The following is a 25043-nucleotide window of genomic DNA, read 5'->3' on the forward strand; positions in this document are numbered from 1 at the left end:
CTATAGACATTTATAATCCACTTTAAGAACCAGTAAGAATTAATTGTGATTGACAGATAAGTCTTTTCTCTCCTTTTGCTCCTCACTTCCCTTCCTTACCTTACCTCTCCTTTTTTGGCATTTATTTGTTGAAGATAGAGTCTTCCAGATGCTGGCTTTTTCTGGCTGCATCCCCATTGTCTTTAACATGTTTTTTTGTTTTTTGTTTTTTGTTTTTGCCCTCAGATTTCCTATAAATTGGATAATTTACTGAGGCTTGATCAAATGCCGGTTTATTTTTCATTTTGGCAAGACTACTTCATAGATGATACTGATACTCATTTAGCTGGTGGAACCTTAGTGTCTATTTCAGATGTTGGAAGCCAGTGGTGGTTGAGGCCGAGATCTGTTACTGTATAGTAGTTGCAAAATAGGAGACATTCTAATTCTGTCTTTCCTTCTCTACTTATTATGTAGGTCACTTCAGTAAAGAGAACCTTCCTCTTATCTGCTATTTGTTTATATAATAGGACAGTTCATATAGCAAAGGCAGGATAAATATGTGGTTCTTTTCCTTTATTTTAGTATTCATCTTAAGGGGTTGTTCTCTAATGGTTTCCATGATGACCAATTTATTCTGACTTTTAGTTTCACTGTGTGCTCAACAACTTAAACATATTTGATATACTTCAATCCACTGAAGTTATTGTTGCTTTTCACATTATCCCAACTTTGGTCAGTGTACCTCCTCCCTACTAATCTGTATATTTCTGAATCAAATTTAGAATAAGGTATTTTTCTATGGAACTATGACTTCTTTCAGTGCCATGTCTGGTGGCCATAATTTAGACATCAGGAGTGTTCATGGTTTCCAATTCAGTGAGTAGAGCTATATCTAGGAAATGTGTAAGTGGTTGTTTAAGATAAAATACATCATAATCTTAGTCATAATCATATTGGTATGTTCAGTTACTGAGACATCAGAACCTATTGAGTAATTATAGCAACATTTGAATACTTTGCACATGTTTGTACATTATCTTTTTAGGCATGACTGAAAGGGAATTCCCTTTGTTTTTATGACTGTATACTTTTTGCTGCTCACTAGTCAGGATCTTCAAATTAAACAAGCATGTTTTGAATAAATACAGTTCCTATCATTTCTGTGTAGTTGTGATCTGTAGTTGTGGTCTGCAGATGAAAGCAGATTTTAAAAATTGAACATTTTGGTTTTGCTTATTATTTTAAATAGTGATCTAGGCTTGAGCCATTATGGAGTCACAGGGACTAGTTTACCTCCTTGCTTTAAACAAAGAAACTGGACAGGATATATTGAACAACAGTTTTCAGCAGTTAGACAGCAGGTCATGTAGAACAGTATTTTTTAGAGAGGAGAAACAAAGAAGGTAAACCCCTCAATTGCTTTAGCTAATGGCCTGAAGAGATTTTCCAGTTCTTGGAACATGAAGAGGGAACCTAGGTGGAAGCTGAGAAGTCTCCCTGAGTTGAAAAGTCAGAGTTGGGAAACTGGGGAAACTAAGACATCTGCAGCTTAGAAGGCAAGGTATTAGAGAGCAAAGAGCTTAGAAAGAGAGTTGTAGAAGTCTACAAAAGGACCCCTGCCCTGAGTCTTCAGTTGAATACTGATTATTGCATGGGTATAAGGCTTGGATAAGATCCACCAAAAAGGAAACAGTAGAACCATTTCTGTAGCACAGACAGGACTGGGAATAGTTCACATTCCCAACAGAGTAGAGAAACTTTGTAATACACAGGGTATGAGAAAGAGTATTCAGAAAGCTGTTGTTGCAGTGGTGGAACTAAACTAGCCCTATACTAAAGGCTGGCTTAAGTTCATCCTAACAAATCTTGAATGCAAACTTTGAAAGGACTGAAAGGACTAAACTGTTTTTAAGTACGTAACTACATCCTAGGAAAAACACCCAAAAACATTTAGAAGAATATGAATAGTAGCCCGATATAAATTTTACAATGTCTAGCATCCAAATAGAAATATATGAAGTATGCAAAAAGCCAGGATATACAACCCATAATGAGAAGAAAATGAAAATAGAAACAGACTCAGAAATGACAAGATGATACCATTGGCATCAAAAATATTAAAACAAGTATTATTAAATAGACTCCATATGCTTAAGAAGGTAGATGAAAGTATGAACATGTTGAAAAAAGACATGGAAGGCAAAAATCACACAAGTGGATTTTTTACAGATGAATGATAAAATAAGGTGAAAAATACTCTGAACAGTACTGCCAAAGGATTAATACGCTTCAGGAAATAGCAGTAGAAGCTACTTGATGTGAAAGAATGGAGGAAAAAAGGACAGATCATTAGTGAACTGTGGTACGACTTCAAGCAGACTAATATGTGTATTTTGAATCCTCGGAGGAGAGTGGAGAGGAAGTATGTTTCAAGAAGCAATGACCAAAAGTTTCAAATTTGATGAAAACTATATACTCAGAGATTTAAAGAGTTGAATGAACTCTAGGCAGAAGAAACACGAAACAAACTACATAAAAGCACAATCTTCAATTCCTACAAACTAGTAATAGAGAAGATTATGAGAAACAATTAGAGGAATTTTAAAAGCCACATTAAGTACAGGGGAGCAAAAATAAAAATGACAGCAGAGGCCGGGTGCGGTGGCTCATTCCTGTAATCCCAGCACTTTGGGAGGCCAAGGCGGGCAGATCACGAGGTCAGGAGATCGAGACCATCCTAGCTAACATGGTGAAACCTCGTCTCTACTAAAAAATACAAAAAATTAGCTGGGCGTGGTGGCAGGCGCCTGTAGTCCCAGCTACTTGGGAGGCCGAGGCAGGAGAATGGCTTGAACCTGGGAGACGGAGCTTGCAGTGAACTGAAATCACACCACTGCACTCCACCCTGGGCGACAGAGTGAGACTCTGTCAAAAAAAAAAAAAAAAAAAATTACAGCAAATTTTGTTTTCTTAGATGCAATGTAAGCCAGAACACAGTGGAATACCACCTTCACAGTACTGAAAGAAAAATTTGTCAACCTAGAACTTTATACCTGGTGAAATTTTTTTTTTCAAAAATAAAGGCAAAATAAACACTTTTATAGACATAAAAATTGAAAGAATTAATCACTTGCAGACCTCAACTATAAGATATGTTAAAAGAAGTCCTGCATGCAGAAGACAAATGTTATGAGATGGAAATTTGGATCTATTCAAAAGAATGAAAGACTCCAGACATGGCAAATATGTGGTAGATATAAAAACTTTCTTATTTTCTAAATCTAAGAGATCATTAATTATCCAAGCCAAATATAATAAAAATGTAGGATTTTTGGCATACATAGAGTTAACAAACAGACAACAATAGCACAATGGTCGGAAGACATGGTCAGAAGACAGAGGACCATTAATAGATTATTATTTTATACATAAAGTAGCATAATATTATGTGATGGTAGACTATGATAAAGATATGTATTGTAAATCCTAAAGGAAATACCAAAGCAACAACAGCAGCGACTCAGAGAGTTAAGCTAAATAGGAAATAAATTGAGATTTTAAAAATATTCAATCCAGAGGAAGGTAGAAGGGAACAAAGAATAGATGGAAGCAACAGTGAACAAACAGCAAGATGGTAGATTTAAATCCAGCTATGTCAATAATCAGATTAATAGTTTAAGCACCCCTTAAAAGACAGCAATTATCATATTGGATAAAAGAGCAAGATCTAACCACATACTGTCTGTAAGAAACCCACTTTTAAAGATACAGATATGTTGGAAAAAAAGATAGATGGAAAAAGTAATATTAGCAGTAATCAAAAGGAAACCAAAATGACTATATTAATATCAACCAAGTAGGTATCAGAGTGTTTCACCCACCAACAGAGTAGACATTCTTTTCAGCTATACACGGAATATCACCAAGACATGCTATATTTAATGTCATAAAATCAATCTCAATATTAATTTTAAAAGGTTAAACTCATATAAAATGTTATTTTACTATGCTAAAATTAGAAATCAGTTATATAGATGGAAAATCTATAAATATTGAAAAGGGAAACAACATATTTCTAAATAACCCATGAGTCAAAGAAGAAAACATAAGGAAAATTAAAGTATTTTGAACTGAAAAAAACGATTTACCAAGTCCTGTAGGATGCAGCTAAAGTATCCATTATAGCATTAAATGCTTTGTATTAGAAAACAAGAATGGTTTCAAGCGAGTGGCCTCAGCTTTCACCACAAGAAACTAGAAGAAAAAGAGCAGATTAAATCTATAGTAAGCTGAAGAACTGAAATAATAAAGAGCCGAAATCAATGAAATAGCTAACAGAAAAATAGAGAAAAGTGATAAAATTAAAAGCTGGATTTGTGTGAAGATCAATAAAATTGATAAACATATAGTCAGAGTGGTGAGGAAAAAAAAGACGCAGATTACCCATTATGGAGGTGAAAAAGGGTATCATTCCAGTTTCTACAGAAATACAGAGGGGCTGATAAGGAAATATGTACTTAATGCCAATAAATCCAGCAATTTAGATGAAATGGAGAATTTCCTTGAAAGATCCCAAATTTCTTGGAAGTACCGACGCTCACTCTGAAAGAAATGCTTAATCTAAGTAGCTCTGTAATTTAAGAATAAAGTTGTAATGAAAATGTTTCCCACAAAGAAAACACCAGGCTCAGAAAGCTTGCTGGTGAATTTTACCAAATAATACCTGTTGTACTTAGACTCTTCTTAAAAATGGAAGAGAAGGGCACACTTTGCAACTCACTTCATGAGGCAAGCATTACCCTTTAACAAAACTGGAAAAAAAATTATAAGGAGACTACAGACCAGTATCCTTGGTGAACACAGATGCCTAAGTCATAAAACTTATTCTTAACACACGTTAATATTCAAAATGAAAATCATGTGTTCTAAATGACGGTGTTAAGTTAGGTATAAATTCTAACTTCTAAATTAACTTGTAATGTAAACTGAGTAAAAATTTCTGGCTTTGTTTCCATGAGTTTGTGCTATTCTGTCATAGAATTTGATTCTCAGTGCCATTTTTGCCAGGTGTACAATTTCAGATATTCAAGAAATTATTATAGGCATAATTCTTCCTCACTAGTGAGGGTTAAAAATTTAAGATTTTGACAAAATACTACCTTTCCCCTCCCCTAATATTTATGTTCTATTCAGTGGTATATTACTGTATTCAAATTCATTTTTATTACACAGGCACAAATGTATTAAATGACATAACAATTTAGAACATTTCTAATATAATTCAAGTTCTACTCAGTACAGCTTTAATTATTTATTTAATCTCTTGAGGGTGATTCAGATGGGTAGGAGTAATGGGAACAGAAATGTATCTTTGCACCCTTGAGCTTTTGTTGCTTTGTAACCATAGTTATTATTTTTTTAATTGACAAACTCTACTCTACTCTCCCCTGGTTGTGTCTCAATGATAGATTTTGTGTGCTTGGATAGCATTCTTAATATTTTACAGATATTTTCTACAGATGATACTTCATCTATATAAAATTTTATCTCTTTAATGGACATTCCATTTTTTTTAGGCTATGATGTATTAAAATATCAAGTATTGGCCAGGTGCAAAGGCACATGTCTGTAATCCCAGCTCTTTGAGAGGCAGGAGCAGAAGGATCAGTTGAGGCCAGGAGATTGAGATCGGCATGGGCAACATAGCAAGACCCTGCCTCTAAAAAAGTAAAAAAAAAAAAATTAGCTAGGCCTGGTAGTGGTAGCATGTACCTGTAGTCCTAGCTACTTAAGAGGCTGAAGTGGGAGGATGGGTTAAGCCCTGGAGTTCAAGGCAGCAGTGAGCTATGATCACAACACTGCATTCCAGCCCTGGTGACAGAGCAAGACCCTGTTTCTAAAAATAAAGTATCAATATTCCTTTTGTAGTAATCAGTGTGGCAGGAAAGAAGTGCAGTATTACTGATATTTTAAGACAATAATACTTATGAATTTCTTTATTTTATGATTATTCTTTGTCATATGTCTAGGGTCATCTGTCAGTGACTTTTGTATTTTGGTTTCATGTTGGTTTTTCCTGGTAGATTGAGAAGCATCAGAAATATTGGTAGTAAAATATGACAAAACAATAATTTGTGCTTTGCTAGCTCTCTGGGCACATTTAAGTCTCAAGACCATCAGAAGCCTTTTAAAAAAAACGTTGATGCCGGGCGTGGTGGCTCACGCCTGTAATCCCAGCACTTTGGGAGGCCAAGGTGGGCAGATCACGAGGTCAGGAGATCGAGACCATCCTGGGTAACAGGGTGAAACCCCATCTCTACTAAAAATACAAAAAAACTAGCCAGGTGTGGTGGTGGGCACCTGTAGTCCCAGCTACTCGGGAGGCTGAGGCAGAAGAATGGCATGAACCCGGGAGGCAGAGCTTGCAGTGAGACGAGATGGCGCCACTGCACTCCAGCCTGGGCGACAGAGCGAGACTCTGGCAAAAAAAAAAAAAAAAGTTGAAATAATATGTTTGCAGCTCACAGCACAGGAATCATAACAGCTTTAAATGAATTTTTTTTTGCACTGTGTATATTCATGGAAGCATTTATTCTCCCTTAAGGGTTTTTTCTCCCATATTTAGACTGGTGCTTTTAAGTCAGCTTATTTTCTGCTTATTTTTACAAACATACACATGCACACACACAAATACACTTTCCCAAAGGTAAAACAGTCCTTAAAACAATGAATAATTTGGTCACATTTTCAAAATAATGGAAGAAAGTTCCACTTGGATTATGCATTCATTCATTCATTCATTCATTCTTCTTTAGAGGCAGTCTTACTCTGTTGCCCAGGCTGGAGTGCAATGGGGTTGGGGGAGGTTATTTTTAATGGAAAGGGCAGTGGTTTCAGTTTATAACTATTTATAATCTTTAGAGAGAAAGGAAAAAAAGCTATAAATCATTTGATGTCCAATGTATAATAACTTTTATCAACTACCTTACAAAATGTATTTTTAAATAATTGTCTCATTTAATTATATAGTATTATGGTTGTCTCCCTTCTATGGTGTAACTATATTGAAAAGTTCACAAGTTTAAAATACTAGGACAAAAGCTGTACAATTTAATGTATTATTTATATGTGTAAGAAATCATATGTGCTATAAGCATGTACTTTATTTGATTATATAAGAATAATAAAACTACAGAGTATTTTCAATATTTTCATGTATTTGCAAATGTTGTAATTTTAAATGAAAGTCTACATTACACATTTTCTTTTGTCATTTTTTGGCATTTTTCTGAGGGCTTTGACAATAATAGATAGTTACATTGGGAATCAATGCAGCTTTTGAATAGAATGTTAAAATAACATCTATGAGAAAAGAAATTATTTTAAAATAATTAAAATTAAGAATATTAATTAGTATATGTGTAATGTAAGAGCAGCTGGATTAGGATTTATTAATATATACATTTACTGTGAAATGATTCTAATAATACTGATGAGTTTGCAAAACCAGTATGTAGAGAATTTATTCAGTTTCCATACAATTTTGAGTTAGTGAATGTAAAATTTGATAGGTAAGCAGTTAGCCTGTTTTGTCTTCCTAGAAAATTATTCTACAAGATGCTGTCTTGTCTAATAAGAATAGCAGAAGGATCATAGGTACTACTTTTGCCAAACCCTAATAATTAAATATTACTCCTTTTGAAAAATGTGTCACAGTAGGCAGTGCTTTTTGTTTTTTCTTTAATTTTATCATAAATGAAAATACTGATGTCAGACTCTTAATTACCTTCATGAACCTTCTCATAGTTACGATTTTTGTCAGATACTACATCTTTTAAAGAGCTTTTAGAATTGCATGCACTGTTGCTTTGTGGATTATGGGAACAGCTATATCATCTGCGTTCATTCTGTCTTCACTTTTTTTTCTCTACCCTGGATTCATCTTGTCCTCCATGGCTTTTGTATGTCTTTTATTTATTGTGTTCTATTTTCCATTCATCTGTCCTTTATTCCTCTTTCTAACATGATCCTGTTATTCATATATATGTATAATTTTCAGGTTTTTTTAAACAAGTAAATATTCTTTTTTTTTTTTTTTTTTTTTTTTTTGAGATGGAGTCTCGCTCTGTTGCCCAGGCTGGAGTGCAGTGGCACAGTCTCAGCTCACTGCAAGCTCCACCTCCCGGGTTCACGCCATTCTCCTGCCTCAGCCTCCCGAGTACCTGGGACTACAGGTACCCACCACACGCCTGGCTAATTTTTTGTATTTTTTGGTAGAGACGGGGTTTCACCGTGTTAGCCAGGATGGTCTTGATCTCCTGACCTCATGATCCACCCGCCTTGGCCTCCCAAAGTGCTGGGATTACAGGCCTGAGCCACCGTGCCTGGCCATAAACAAGTAAATATTCTTAATCACCTGGAAATTTTATATCTTCTCCTTGGAAAAACAGATAAGCCAATTCACACACAAAATTTATCAACCCCAATTTATGTTTCCTACATTATATCTCATATCTTCTCCCATGAATTATTCAGATTTGCTCCTAACCCACCTTGCTTCTGATTTTGAGCATGTGTCAGATTTGCTGGTGAGTTTTGATTTTCTCACTTTGTTTACGTAAATTTCTCTGTCATTTTCTCAAGAATACTAAAGAAAAAGTATAAATTGTATGTTTTATGCATGGTAGATACTGTATACATATTTTTAAATACTTGTAATACTATGCACTACATATATACTTAGTATTAGAAAACACGTCTTGTATTAAGTTGGATTTGCATATAGAAAATTGTATAAGTAAATACTGCATGTTTGTTGCATGTCCATATTTGGTTATTTCTTTGCTTTTTTGTGGGGTGTTTTCTGTTATTTGTTTCTGTTGTCCAAAATAATTGTGAACCACTGGTTCCAGTAATTAGGTAGTATTTGTTTTTGGAATGCCTAATAATTTAATAATATTTTATAAATAGGAGTCACTTTTAAACAAAGATACACATTGTTTTCTTTAGCAAAGTAGAAGTATTTCTCTACATATGATACATATTTATATACATGATATACATTTATACATGATACTATTAAGATGTTTTTATCTATAGGTTCCAGATAGCACTATAGACCTCTTTTGTATTTTCCCTTATGAATTTTTTAAAAAACATTTAAATAGCTTTTTAGCACTGCTCATGTTTTTGCAGAAATAAGTTTACTTGTAAAGGCTACTAAGGGATTGCTTATTTTAAAATTGAGTTTTCAAAATGTCATATGTATATGTCAGTTTATTATTGCTTTAAGATTTTATTTAGAATTTTGTAAGAGATGCAGATGGTCCCTGACTTACAATATTTCTTCAACTTATGATTTTTTTGACTTTACAATTGGTTTACCAAGACGTAATAAGTAAAGGAGCTCCTTAGGAATTAGAATCGATTATGGTTTCTACTGAATGTATAGTGCTTTTGTACTATCTTAAAGCTGACAAATTGCATATTGAACCATCGTAAGTAAGGGATCATCTGCTGTGTTGGTAGCATTAAATGCATTTTTGACTTATGATATTTTTGACTTATGATGAGTTTATCAGGGTATGACTTCATCGTAAATTGAGGAGCATCTGTACTTTGAATAAAAAACATTGTATTAAATATTGTCATTTAGAAGTATAGCTGATTATCTGTATCCATCTGATTTCATACCAAGATATTTTATAATATTTAGCTTAAATTTATAAGTATAGAAAGAACTCAAATAAATAGATGACATGATAGAAAATGTTGGCTTTATATGTGACAGAAGTTTTGAGTTTCAGTTATACGATTTTTGTGCTATACTCTGCAATTCTTGCATTCCAGTAGGGTGGCTTTAAGTCAGTTGACCATTAAGAACTAAAATTGTATCAACTTGAGTTGAAAAGAAATAATTCAAAGGACGCATGGGAGAGTGATTTAAAAAGTTTTTTTTACATACCAAAATTGAAATAATATTAGAGCAAAAAAATGAGGGGTATCATACTTTGGTGATATAAAAATATTTTCCAGATAGTTTTTAAGCGACCCAGAAGTACAAAATAAATTTCTTATCAGAACAGTGTCCCCTGAGATTAAAAATTGCCTCAGTAATTACTGTGAGAGATGAGGAACATGTCTTATAGCTCAACCTGAAACATTTGTATTGATCTTAATTCCAAATCTACATTTTGGCTCTTAGGATCATGGTCAATTAACACATTTTATTCTAATCTTGTCATTGCAACTAGTTTTTCTATTGGGACACTGGTTGTAATAATTTGGTAATTTATGTTTAGGTATTGTTTATGCTAAAAATAATGTAAGAAAACATTTTGTTTCACTGAACTTGTCCGTAGATGTCACTATCATGCCTTCTTTATGCTGATTTAAGGAGTAAAGTAAGTACAGAGAATTAAAACAGTGTTAATATGAAGAAATAAAATCTCATTTGTATTACAAGAGGGCCAAATTATTATGGAAATGTTAAGTTCACATGTTAACCTTAGGAAATAAAGAAAAGTTAAAAATGAAAATTAATAGATGAGATCATTTACAAATAGTTTACTGTTTAAATAGATTTTTTAAATGGTATTTTTCATCCTTCTATAGGCTATCCACTCTGTTGCTTGGCATCATGAAGGAAAACAATTTATTTGCAGTCATTCAGATGGCACCTTGACTATATGGAATGTAAGGTCCCCTGCTAAACCAGTACAGACAATCACTCCACATGGTAAGAATGCATCAATTTTAAATACCACCTAATTGTAACGTACAGTAAACTGTTTTGTTTGAGTTTGCATTCTGATTTGTTTGTTTGATTTTTAGGATAAGGATGGGTTTCCTTCTGTTTTTAGGGAATTAAAAATATTTACACTTATAGAAATAGTATCTAACAACCAGTTAATAAAATTTCAAATTAAGCATATTTACAGTTGAAATTGCAAATTTGAAATTTTAGAAAATGTTATATTATTTTCTGAATATCATGTCTCTAATAGTCCAGAAAATAATAGTTTTGTGAATGAAAATGATGCAGGATTTACATTAAGCTTTTCCATCTCAAAGCTGTCAGTTGCAGGTTGTTAATATATAAATAACAGTGAACTTGAAATACTTGGAACCCTGTAGAAGGTAATTTTATATATCAAAATATGGTGTCAGGAGTCCTCAGAATCACCCTAGATTTAATGATTCACTAGGAAGACTCACAGGACTCAGCATATAGTCATATTCATTGCTGTGATTTATTACAACAAAAAGGCATAAAGCAGAATCTGCAAAGGGAAAAAACACATGAAGTTTAGAGGAAACCAGGCTCAAGCTTCTTGGAGTTATTTTCTTATGGAGTCACACAGAATAGGCTTCATTCCACTAACAAGGAGTTGTTACCACATGTGTGAAATATGTCTACCAGAGAAGCTCACCTGAGCCTTGGAGTCCAGGGTTTTTATTGGGGTCAGTCATGCAGGCATCCTCTGCTTTAGCAGGTACCACAATTCGAGACTCCCAGAAGCAAGGCAGGGGTTCAGCATAAACTATATTCTTTGTACAAACCAATTAGGCAGAGTAAATCATCCTCCTCAGGGAATAATGAGCGTTTTCTTGAAAACCAAGTTCCTAGACATCAGCCAAGGGCCAACCTTGTAAGCAGATCTTTGTAGTGATAGCAGCCACAGACCTGCTGTGTTAACTATTTTCTGCATAAGTAGTACTTAACAAAACTTATAAGAAATTTTTATTATAATATTTATTAGAAACAGATTATGAAGGCCACCTTTTTTGTTTTAGAATTTGTATTTCTTTATTAATCTTCATTCTCCACCCTCACCCTACGAGAATCCTTCCTGGCAAGTTTAGGGAACTCATATTAAAGGAACTGTTCTATAAATTGATAGTATATTCAAGATTGTCCTTGTAGCTATTGCTAGTATTTCATTGTTTGCTTTAAAATTTGAATACCTACTTTTTAAAAAAGCTGACATATTTTGACTTACTGCAATATAGAAATGAAAGAAACAGTAAAATTAAAAACAAGTTTTATCTATCTGTGGCATATGGGATTTTAGGCTTGCTTGTTTTCTGGGAAAAATAACAGTTCTTGAAACCACATATTGTGAAATACTTTACCACTGCTTTGTGACAGCAATCATCTTCTGGGAAAGCACTTACATGAAATTCCCTACACATCTATTTATGAGTGCATCTAGAGGATATTTCTTATGATAGTAGGTTCAAGTTTTTCTTAATGTATTTTGTTCCTTCCTTCTATTAGTATCTAGGTTCCTCATCTCGACACTCCTAAAAATTCCCATGAATCTTAGAATCTCCTAACCCTGCTGGAACCTACGAATTCAGATAAACAAAAAAGTACCAATAAGGTGTGGTTAGTTCAAAAATCTTTCATTTTAAACCCAGAAGAAAATGAAACTCATGTCAAAGATGATAGAAATATGTAATGCTAGTTTTGCAGCTTGAAGATTATCTGTTTTTATCTTGTTTTGTAAGAATAGTACAAAGGATCTTTTTTTCTTTTGATCTGTTTGAGAGTAAGTTGTCAATGTGGTGCTGATTCACTTGCAAATATTCCATGGTCTTTTTTTTTTTAATAAGGACATTTTTCTATATAACCAAGTTTTGCCTTTATTCAAAAGAGTTTTATGTGGATTAGATTTGGTTGTCATGTTTCTTCTCGAAACTGGAACAGTTCCTGAACATTTTGACTTTCATATATGATAAATTACAAAGATTATAGGTCAGTTATTTTATAGAACGTGCCTCAGTATGGTTTTGTCTCATGTTTATTCATGATGAGATTTAGGTTGCACGTTTTTGGCAGGAGTATCCCAAAAGGATTGAGGTGTTCTTTTTGCATCCTCTCAAGTGGAACTCGTTTTTGATTTGTCCCATATTAGTGGTATCTCATATCCTGATCCTTTGGTTAAAGTTCTGTCTTCTGCTAGTTCTCTCCATTATTAAAAAGGTTTTCTTTTTACTTTTGAAATTGAGAAATAAATTTTGTATTTATAATTGTTAAGTATTTTGATTTGAAGGAAGTTCCACAAGACTCTATGAACATATTATACTTCATCAAACTTTTCCCCTTTAGTTTTAGCATCTGTTGATGTTTCTTAGCTGAATTCACTATTACTGTGATGGTTGCCAAATAATGATTGTCTAGCTGGTCTTAATCTTTTTTTATATTACAAGCTTAGGTCATTGAAAGCAGACTCTAGTAAGTGGTATAAATCAGTTTCTACAGTGTTTATATTGTCTTAGCAGAAAAGGGTCACTAGCTAAAATTATTTTTAAATAAAAAAGACAATATGTGACTTAATGTTTTCTCAAAATTAGAATCCAAATGAAATATAAATGGATTTTTTTCTGTGGCTGGTGTTAAAAATTAGGATGGTATTTGTGTAGTGTTAGCAGTCTAATAGTAGATGGCCAGAATTTTATATAAAGTAAGGCATATTTATTTTATTTTATATAAGCTATATGTAGAAAATCTGAATTCCTTTCAAGTGTAATAGGGTTTCCAGCTTTCTTTTTGGCAGTAAAAACTACCAAGTGACAGGTAACTAACCAAAGCTAAATTCATGTTGACTCTACAACTGAATTCATGGCAAAGCTGGAGTACAATGGCGCGATGTTGGCACACTGCAACCTCTGCTTCCCAGGTTCAAGCGATTCTCCTGCACTAGCCTCCTGAGTAGCTGGGATTACAGGCGCCTGCCACCATGCCCGGCTAATTTTTTGTATTTTTAGTAGAGACAGGGTTTCACCATGTTGGCCAGGCTGGTCTCAAACTCCTGACCTCAGGTGATCCACCCGCCTCAGCCTCCCAAAGTGCTGGGATTACAGGCATGAGCCACCATGCCTGGCCAGCTGAGTACATTTTTATACATTAAAGTACAAAACTACATTCTGCATACCATAACAAGGGTATCATCTATTCCATAGAGATCACATTTGTGGTACATCATTTTCATTATATTAACTGTTTCGATGGATTGAAATTTTGTTCTACTTTCTCATTACTATTGTCTGTTGTGGTTTCTTGCTCTTAATTTCTAGCCAAACAGTTATGGTAAATTAGTTTAAATATACTAGCCTTTTACAATTGAGTACTTTTTTACTTTTTCTTATTTAAGTTCATCTAATGGTTGTTCAAGTATCTTAGTCTTAAAAAACATTTACAGTATTACCTTGATTGCCAAGAACTGATTATAATTTAAGTCTCCTACCAGTACTTTACGATGAGTTTTAGTGTTAGGGTGTTTAGTGTTAAAAATAGGTTAAGATATCCTTGAAGAATCTGTTCAGAAGGTATTATGTTGCATTTATATAACATGGGATTTTGAAGCCAGAAGAGTTGTAGTTAAGCACTAATTCCATAGTTTCTGGCTCTGTGACCTTTAGGAAGTCATTTAACATTTTTGAGCCTTAATATTCTCATCCATGAATACAAATAATAATGAAACTTGACCTAGTCTCATACAGTTGTTGTGAGGATTGTATTTACTCATTCTACAAATATTTATTGGTTCTACTGTGTGATAGGCACTTTTCTTAGCTGTGGTTCAAATAATCAAAATGGAAGTGAAATTACCCGGAAATTATGATGTGCTATTCATATATGGCTCTAGGAAGTGTAGGTGTGGAACTTGTTATTTACTTGGTAGAATGGATTAGTGAACCCCCAAAATATATTCCACAAAGACTAGTTTTTCTTATATTTATGATTCGTTTGGTGGAAAAGGTATGTCATAGTGAAAGAAGTTTTAGAAATACTGAATTAAAGATGAGCATTTTTCTTCACTTTAAGATTCAACAGGTTATTTTTGACTACCAAAAACAAACAAAAGGTGATAGGTCCCTTTAATCTCACTTTTATGAGTCTCAAACATTTCCCTGGCAGTCAGACAACCTGTAATCTAATTGTAAGTGCTATGTGTGAAATACCTTGTGGAGATTCCTTTTCTCTGAGACTTAAGCTTTATTACTTGTAAAATGGCAAGATTGAACAGGATTTTTAAGCTACAAAGTTTAGTGAATATGTGAAAATTAAGCAGGATTTGGTTCCATATAATGACTCTGCGGTTATTTCCTTTCAGTGGGCCATAGATTCTGCATCTCTGTATGGTACATCTAGGAGTAAGCTGTTTCTCTTTTGGCTTGTTTCTCTCCCATGGCAGATAGGGTTTCATTACTTAGGAGGGAATAACTTCGACAGTATTGGCATGGCTCAGATTCTTACCCTGAAGCACTCATCTTGGTTTTGTAATTTCCTGGGCCAGGGCCTCACAGGACCTCCCCTGTAGCGCAGGGTTGAGGGTGATGTGTTGCAGAGTAAGATTTTCTGTGATTGTCAGCTTTACCAGAATCAGATGGTTTCCTAAGGAAATGGAGGTGCTAGACCAGGGGTGCCTTCCTATATTAGAAGGAGGAGAATTATCTAGGACCACGCATAAAATACACTAACACTAATGATAGCTGATGAGCTAAAAAAAAAAAATGTCATAATGTTTTAAGAAAATTTTCTAATTTGTGTTGGGCCACATTCAAAGCTGTCCTGGGCTACATGTGGCCTGCAGGCCATGGGTTGGACAAGCTTGTGCTAGACAGTCAAAACCCATAGATTTTTATTATAGGAAATGATATTTTAAATTTAGTTTCTGAAGCTTATTCATCAATGTAATCAATCTACTTATCAAAAAGTAAACCAAGATTGGGGAACTTTTATTCTGTTGAAGGTCACTGAGGGAAAAATAAAATTCAAATTCACCTAAGTACGTCAGCTTAATATGTTAAGGATGAGACGTGTAAAGAATTCCATTAATCTGCTTTTAAGATTCACCTGAAATCTAAAACATTCAGTAAATAATAAAATTATACCTCAGTTCCTTATGATTCATCACAAACCTTTCCCCAGTTTATGTATTTGAAAAGACTTACCAGACTCCACAGAGCATACTCAAACAAGACCATGATTTAAAGGCGAAGGATATGATACAGGAGGAGAAAGAGAATGCAGGCAGGTATTCTGAAACATCCCTCCCCTATGTGAGCTCCCAGTGAGCACTTACACACGAGGATTGTGCTGAGTCCACCTCGAGTCACCAAGATCTGGCTTCTGAAGAGCTCCAGAGAAACTCTCAGGAAGGCCCTTGTAATGATCAAGCCAGTCTTGCTAATAAATCAACTAGGCCGTTTGCCAACCTGCAGCAAAACTATACACTGGTGGTTACCAGGGAAGTTTTGGGCCTTAAACAACACATCATAAATCCCACTGTCCTTTTCTTGGCCAAAAGTAAAAAAACAGATGTTCAGGGGTCCAAGTCCAGCCGTAAATCAACTTTGTACACTCATTTAGGAGGGAACAACCCTCCTCCCCATTGCAGACTAGTATTATTAGCAATGTGGCTCTTCAGTTTGTCTTTTTATTTTCTAGAACATCACTGTCCAATAGAAAGGTAACGTGAGCTGCGTGTGTGATTCTAAATTTGCTAGTAACCATGTTAAAAACAGTAAAAAGAAACAGGTAAAACTAATTTTAATAACATATTCTTTAATCCCAAATATGCAAACTATTAGTTCATGATGTAATCAACGTATAAAATTGAGATATTTTATTCTTTTTTTGTACTAAATCTTTGAAATCTAGTGTGTATTTAGCACATCTTAACTTGGACTAGATACATTTTACGTGTCCCGCTGTCCGTGCATTTTGAGTGCACGGTAGACTTACGGCTACCCTATTGGATAGCCACGCTAGACTGAGAACATAACTGCAGTGTAACAAGCATAACACTTAAAATATGTTCCTCATCCTAACTGGCAAAATTAAAACTTTAGAAAGCAACTGTTTTTGTCAGTAATCTTTATTCATTTTAAATGAATCTTTATTCATTGAATAAACATTGAGCACCTCCTACCTACCAGAGATTAAATACTGAAAATATACTGTCCTGAAGAGCTCATCATCAAGTGAATAAAAATGATCTATAAACTGATAAATATAATACATTGTGATAAGTGCTGATAAAGGCATGTATAACATGATATGGAAACAAATAAGTGGTGACTGGTTTTGGGTAAAAGGTGTTGGACTATTTCACAAATTCAGGGTATATGAACTTGGTCTTAAAGGATGATACTGGTGGTATAAGGTAGCAAAGAGCAGGGCAAAGTTATCTTAGAAGGCACAAAGGCACAAAGACATAAACAAAAGTGGGGTGTTCTTGGAAAACTGCTAATAGTTTAATATGACCAGAGTTTAAAACGCCTTTGGGCAAGTAGCAGGAAGTGAAAACAGAACCATGTACAGAGGCAAGATTATATATCAAAGTATGATAAAAAGTTTGAACTTCATAATGGAGACCTAGTAATTGAGTTTTTAGTGAGAAGCATTAAGTTTACATCTTAAAAATATCACTTTAATGATAGTACATCAGGTGGGCTGGAGGCAGAAGAGGGTGGCTAATTAGGAAGCTTTGCATTAATAAATAATGGAGATTTTATTAGAGGAAATGGGAAGAAATGGACATGTATGAATGAAATTCTGGAATTAGAATCAATAGGACTTAAACCAATTATTTGAGGCTTGGTGGTTTGAGGGGTGGGGAAATAGGCCATAGTAAGAAGGAGAAATCAGATGTGGCATGGAAGTTTATGTGAGTTATTAAGTGAGGTTTTATAATTAATCAGATCTTTTAACTGACTGGTCAAGGTAGTTCACGGATAGTTAAAAGAACAAGCACGTATTTTTGTTCCTCTGGTGGCATAGCATTTAAGAAGTAAAATGACACCTAGTGGTGAAATCCCCTAAATGTCTTTCCATTTATATGTGCTTAAAATCATGGGTAGTACCTTATTATTTGATTTGATTTAGAAAATGCTTAGCCTAGAATTATAGATGAATAAATAAACCTATCTAGACCATAAGCAGTAATCAGAGACATTATTTAAAACATCTTGGTTGGAAAGATATCAGAATATGCAGACCAAGGATTTGTTGGGTTTTTTTCAAGCAAAATTAATACAGGATGATCACTCTAAACACTGCAACATTTTTCATTTACAGAGAAAATGAAACTACTCTATTAACATCCTCTCAGAGGGACAGAAGTAAAAGTTAACTTCTAAAGGAATAGAAATCAGACTGACTTAGACTTGTAAGTCTGAATGTTAGAACACAATAGAGCAATATCAAGGGACTATTGAGCAAGAAGAAAGTTAAGAATTTTGTACCTAGCCAGGTTTTTTGCAAGATATAGAAGCTCAGGCTTGGAAGCGTTTAGCAAATACCATCTAATGTCCTTTAGAATTTGTTCCAACCTCTGAAAGATTGATGTTGAATATTGAAGTAAGTTAAAGGAGTTATTTCTGAATAATTGTTTCACTTCATAAAACAAAATCATGTTTGAACCTAAATGTAAAATTTGTGTCTATAATTCTAAATTCTGTCAGCCTGACTCTCCCACTAGAACTCTGCATGGTAGAAAGAGGATAAAAGCCAGCTGACCTTCTTCAGAGCAAACATTTAAATTTTTTACTGAAAGGTCATATACATCTCTATATAGATTGGAATAGAGGTTGAAGTTCTTAATTTATTCCTTGTATAACACAAGGGACTACTTTTCAGATTTAAGCCTCCTTTTTTCGATACCTTTTATTTTCCTTGCAATTCTCTCTCCCACCTCAACAATCCTTTCCTTTCTTCTGGCAGTTCTTTCCAGTTCCTTGGTCACTTCTGTCACTTCTTGGTTCCTGTAAATTGGGCTGCTAGAGATTCAAGATTCCCTGTACAACCATTTCTTCATAAGGAGGGGAAAGGGATTATTCTCTAGGATCTTAAATTAAGACAGGATTCAATGTTCCATTACCAGTCAGTGTACAAGTATATATTTATAAAAATTTAATATGGGTGATATTTCATACTAGTGAGGAGAGAATGATGGTTCAATAAATTGAGCTGGCAAGTAAATATTTATGTCAAAACTCATCTGATTGTACACTTTAAGTAGTGTACTTTTGTTTAGCAGTTATAGCTCAGTAGAGCTATTAAACTAGCACTCAGATGATTGATAGCTTATTAATTATTAAGAGGAAAATGTCTTCCCTGTATCAAAATACACATCAGAAAATAATTAATGTAATAAATGAATCTATTCTAAATTATAAGAAAAAGCAGATTTATGTGATTTTGGTGTGGGGAAGAACTTTCCAAGCGTAAAACCAAAGAGGGGAGGGACCAAAAAGACGGATAGTTTTTTTCATACACATGTATCATTATACATAAATGAGATCCTATCATACCAGTTCCTTCTCCCTCAGCCTTTTCCCATGTTAGCAGCCCAATCTCCTTTCTTGTCCCACCAGGTAAGCTATGTCAAAAATCTTACAGATATTCTTCTAAAATATAGGTATTTCTAAAATCATGTGTATTAACACATACACACAAATAAACATGAGATTATTTTTCTGATCATTGTTTTACAAAAATTAGGATTATGTTAGTGTTTTTGCATCTTTAAAATTTTTTAAAATTTTTGTGAGTACATACTAGATATATATATTTATGAGGTACATGAGATATTTTGATACAGGCATACAGTGTGAAATAAGCACATCATAGAGAATGGGGTATTAATCCCCTCAAACATTTATCGTTTGAGTTACAATAGGGTGACTATAGTTCAATAATAACTTAATTGTACATTTTTTTTTTTTTTTTTTTTTTTTTTGAGACGGAGTCTCGCTCTGTCGCCCAGGCTGGAGTGCAGTGGCGGGATCTCGGCTCACTGCAAGCTCCGCCTCCCGGGTTCATGCCATTCTCCTGCCTCAGCCTCCCAAGTAGCTGGGACTACAGGCGCCCGCCACTACGCCCGGCTAATTTTTTGTATTTTTAGTAGAGACGGGGTTTCACCGTTTTAGCCGGGATGGTCTCGATCTCCTGACCTCGTGATCCGCCCGCCTCGGCCTCCCAAAGTGCTGGGATTACAGGCGTGAGCCACCGCGCCCGGCCTGTACATTTTAAAGTAACTTTTAAAGAGTGGAACTGGATTGTTTGTAACTCCTTTTTTGCATCTTAATCACTGTACTTTAGGAAGATTCCTCCAAATGTTCTGGCATTTCTTTTATGTTAATGGCTGTGTCAGAGCCAGTTGTTTGTATCACAACTTATTCAGCTATTTCAAATTAATGGGCATTCCCTTTGTTTTCATTTCTTAAACATTGCAAATTATGCTGCAGCTACCATCTTTGTACATATGCCATAGGAATTGGTCCTTTTGTTTCTATGGAATAAATACTTCAGAGTACAATTTCCACCCCGAAATATTGAAGTTTTATTATTTCTAATAAATGTTCTCAAACCATTTTTCAAAAAAAGCTATATTCTTCAGATTTCTACCAGCCATGTATGAGTATCCCTTTTCCAGTGTCCTTGCCAGTGATAGGTGTTATGAGTCATTTTACTTTTTTTTTTTCTTCCTGTTTGCTCAGGATCTCAAAGTCGGCCAGAAATGAGTGACTGGGGCCTTCTCCTTTCCTCACTCTTTCCTGGGCAGGCAGCCTTTTAGACCGCCATGAATGTGTCTAGTTCTCGGAGCTTTTCTTTTAAATTTCTGCCTGAGTTCCATTTGCCTCAACTGAAACTACAGCCTTAGGCAGCTGTAATACTTCCAACAGATTGCTATTGTTCTGGAATGCCCTGGGGGTAGGGATTTTTGTCTCCCATATTTGAGGTCTGTGTCAAATGAGACAGCCACAGCACTTTGGGAATAGAGTTCCAGGGAGCTGCAGGTTCACACAAAATGTTGATTGTGCTGTAGCAAAAGTGGTTTTAACAGAGCTCCAAGAAAACTTCAGTCCTCTCTGTTGGCTGATACTACTGCATTTTCATGGCTAGCCTACCACTGAGCTGGGTAGCTAGGGGATAGAAATAGACCTTCCTTAAAAATACCACAGTCCCCTGTCCCCGAACCCCTCATGTTACTGAAGTTCAGTAGTATCTATTGGGTAGATGATTTTTCATCTTGTTAGTGGCTTGGTCATTCTCCAGAGTTTTAAAATGTTTAACTTTAGTTGTTTTAATAGTACTTTCATTTTTGTGGGAGAGCAAGTTCATCGAGGTCCTCCTGTTACTGGTGGCATATATCTGAGTTACCAGTAGTATATCTGTATGGGTCTGCAGTAACCTCAATTCTTGCCTCCTCAGAAGAAAGAATTCAACTGAGGAGCATAAAGAAAAAAAGAGACCAAGGCAAGTTTCAGAGCAGGAGTGGAAGTTTATTAAAAAGGCTTTAGAACAGGGAAGAAACACTTGAAAGAGATCCAGGTGGGCAACTTGGAAAACAAGTGCAGTGTTTAACTCTGACCCTAGGACTTCATAGGCTTGCCCCTTTCCCATGATTCTTCCCTTAGGGTGTGCTGCCCCTATGTGTGGTGCCCTCCTTACCCTTGGTAGGTGAACACGTGCAGTGTGTTTAGGAATTCGTACACACGTCCATCTGAGGCTTCCCTCTGTTTTCCAGTGGAGTGCCCCCCGAAGGTCATACTCCACCATTTTGTTACTTACTGCCCATGCCTGGGAAGTTGCGTCTCCCTGGCGCTTGCATTCAGTTAACACTTTAGTGCAGCAGGTGTGGACCATCAGGAAATGGGTTCTCCCTGGCGCCGGCTGCCAATATCACTTTTAGTGAGGCAGTGTGATAATTGTCAAACCATCATCTGACATTTCTAGAGCCCTCTCCTGCCCCACTCATGCCTACCTACCTATGATATTCACTGTATCATCTTGGAAGTTGATCTTTTTGGTAGTTTCCCTAGCCATTCATAGACATTTAGTCTACTGGGTGAACTTTAAGATCGCTTTGTCCAAATTCAAGAAAAGCTGTTGAGATTCTAATTACATTACATTTATAAATTAATTTTGGAAGAACCGATATTTTAGGATTTCATATTTTCTTAAATTGCAACATATTAAGGCTGATAGACTTGATTATTTAGATGTGTATTTCTGTACAATTTTTTTTAATTTGTAGGAATTCGCTAGGGAAAATATTTGCAACATACATGATTGACAGAATGTTAATAAGCCTGGACAGTAAAATTTATTTTCTAATACAAGGAAGATGACGTAGAAGCATTGATAAAGAACAGCAAGCTATTTTTTAAAAGAAGTATACATGACCAGTTAGGGATCCAAACACATCAGATTAAAATAAGTTACTCTTTTTATTTAACAATCAGCAAAAAGAAAAAAAAAAACATTGCTAGGGGAGGATATGGCAAAATACGGTCTTACGCTGCTGATAGAACTATAAATTGGCACAACCTATCTAGAATAAAACTTTACCCAGATATACTATATGCCAAACAATGTTTGTCACCAGGGATACCACAACAGAAAACAAATACACTAAAAATGTTCGCTTTCCTGGCCGGGTGCAGTGGCTCATGCCTGTAATCCCAGCACTTCAGGAGACTGCGGCGGGCAGCTCCCTTGAGCCCAGAGTTTGAGACCAGCCTGGGTAACATGGTAAAACCCCATCTGTCATCTCTACAAAAATTTTTAAAAATGTATCCAGACATGGTGGTATGCACCCGTGGTCTAATTACTTGAGAGGCTGAGATGGGAGGCTCACTTAAGCCCAGGAGGTTGAAGCTGAAGTGAGCCATGTTCATGCCACTGTACTCCATCCTGGGCTACAGGAGTGAGACCTTGTCTCAAAAAAAAGAAAAAAAATTTGCTTGCCTAGAATTTACATACATGCCAGTTAGGCAAACAATAAACAAAGAAGGTAAATATAAAGGATACTAGAATGTGACAAGTGCTATGGAGAAAAAATAAAGCTGTGAAAGAGGGTAAGAGGTGTTAGGTTAGGGGTGAGTGTCAGGAATTCCTCAGACCATTCCCAAGTTAGGTGATTTGCCAGAAGAAGTATTATAATGTGGACAGTGGTTAATCTCTGAAATATGGGAAATAAATGTTTTATTTTCTTTATTTTTTACTTTTCCATAGTTTCTACAGTGAACATGTAGAAATAGATAACTGAAATCAACATTTTAAAAAATAATTAGAATTCTTTGGCAAAATGAGTCTCTGACACATTTTATAGAGGTTGGTGTATTTTAGCAGTCTTTTGGGTATTACAGTGGATGTATTTACTTAAGGAGAATAAATATAAATGATTTTATTAGCATAGGGCTTAATATTGCAGCCTGTCACACTGGGGTGAAAATGTGATGTAGATTTATTTTTCTCAAATCTTGCTGTTTTAAAATGAATTCATTTAGCAAGTTGAAATTCTATGTTGCTTATCTGCAATTAAGAACATTGGAAAAACTATCAGTTTCTCCTGCTAGAATTTTGTCACATAAATGTTCTTACTAAGTTATTAATTATATTTGCTTTTTAGCACTGAATTTCAAACGGTAACTTTGCTTGATCATTTAAAAAATATCTTACTGTGTATTAAATGCCTCTTTCAGAATCACTTTAAAATGTTTCATGGTGGATTTCATTATATTTCACTTTCATTTTATAAACTATCAATGTAAGAATGTAGAGTAACTTAGAATTTTAGAATTTAATGCAGGAAAATATATTTTAGGAAAACAGTTAAAGGATGGGAAGAAGCCAGAACCATGCAAACCTATCCTCAAGGTGGAATTCAAAACGACTAGATCTGGGTAAGATTTTACTTCATTGCCAATGTTCATTGTATATAAGTCCTCAAATAGCATGGAAGGCTATTTTATCATTAATTTTGAAGGCCTATTTTAGAATAGTCTACACCATTCTTAAATTTTATGCTTTTTTTATTTAACAAAAGAAGTAAAATTGGTAAATTTAGGATAAAATACTTTTTTGTGTTCTTGTCTTTAGTAGTTTTACACATTATCTTGGAAAGTTTGAATTATTTTTCCTGTTAAACTTCGTGCCTTCTCTAGATCAGTCTTCAGTAGCAATAGTGTTTATTCACTAGTGATCATTGTGGAATAAGCAATGAAGAAAAAAAGATTTAAAATTTAACTTATTTTTACTATATATGTTATGAAAGTTATATGTATTCTTCAGAAATTAAATCTTATATGAGTATCTGCCAATTATGAAAATAAATACAGTTTAATATTAAAGGGAGTTTGTTGGTTGTAGTTGAAGACATTGATTGTCACTATATGAATTACATATGAAAATTAGATTGCTTAAACATTTATATATTTTATGTATATTTTTGTGTCAAATGTTAGATTAAAAAATATAAAGAAAAAAACATAAAATATCTGTGAAGATTCCACATCTCTTTAACTTCTAAAAGAAACTCTTTTATTTATGTTCTAGTTCCCCAGGAAAAGTATATGGTTTTATTTACTATGGCTTTTATTTGCTATAGCTATGTTGGACAGTGAGTATATATAGTATAGTGCAGAGGTTCTGAAATTGTGGTCCCTTTGCCAACAGCATTAGCTGAGAACTTGTTTGAAATGCAGATTCTCAGATTCCACCCTAGATCTACTGAATCAAAAACTCTAGGGTCGGGACCCAGCAATCTGTGTTTTAACTAGACCTACAGGAAATGCTGATGCACTCTAACATTTAGAAACACTGGTGTATTTTTTGTATACCAGTTTATAACCACTGGATATTACAACTGGCCCACTCACTTTTTAATCTCCCCTCCCATTTCAATTCAACTCATTTGAGTAAAGGTACCAGGCTAAAATATATATATAAAAATGTCGTTATCTTTTCCTTCCTTCTTTTTAGGGTTTGTTGAGATCCAACAGATATATTCCAACAATAGCTATATTCCAACAATAGATTAAATGAACTCTAAGAGGTGTATCATCTGTTTGACTCTTGCATCCTTCATTGTGTGACCTGTAGCATAGTTATCTGACTTCTTTGTGGTTCATTTTCCTCACTTATGACATAGATGGATAAAATGTCAGACATTAGTTGTTTAATTGAGATGATAATGTATGTAAAACATTTCAAGCAGTTTCTGGTATATAATAAACTCTATAAATGATTGAGAAGCCAT

The 25043-nt window shown here is 34.7% G+C and overlaps 1 protein-coding gene across 15 annotated transcripts in view; it reads left to right on the forward strand.

Moving 5' to 3' along the window:
• The window catches only part of STXBP5 (syntaxin binding protein 5), a 186057-nt gene that overhangs the window by 63068 nt on the left and 97946 nt on the right, over positions 1-25043 (forward strand). For all 15 annotated transcript variants that reach the window (XR_007059202.1, XR_007059201.1, XR_007059203.1 and 12 more), the window contains 2 exons: positions 10597-10720; positions 23610-23688. Coding sequence is in view for 12 of the 15 variants with exons in the window: in XM_047418197.1 (XP_047274153.1) it covers positions 10597-10720; positions 23610-23688 (203 nt within the window). In the remaining 3 variants the exon portion in view is untranslated. The remainder of the gene's footprint in view (positions 1-10596; positions 10721-23609; positions 23689-25043) is intronic.

Source organism: Homo sapiens, chromosome 6 (genome assembly GCF_000001405.40).
Source record: "Homo sapiens chromosome 6, GRCh38.p14 Primary Assembly".
In the NCBI taxonomy this organism is placed as follows: Eukaryota; Metazoa; Chordata; class Mammalia; order Primates; family Hominidae; genus Homo; species Homo sapiens.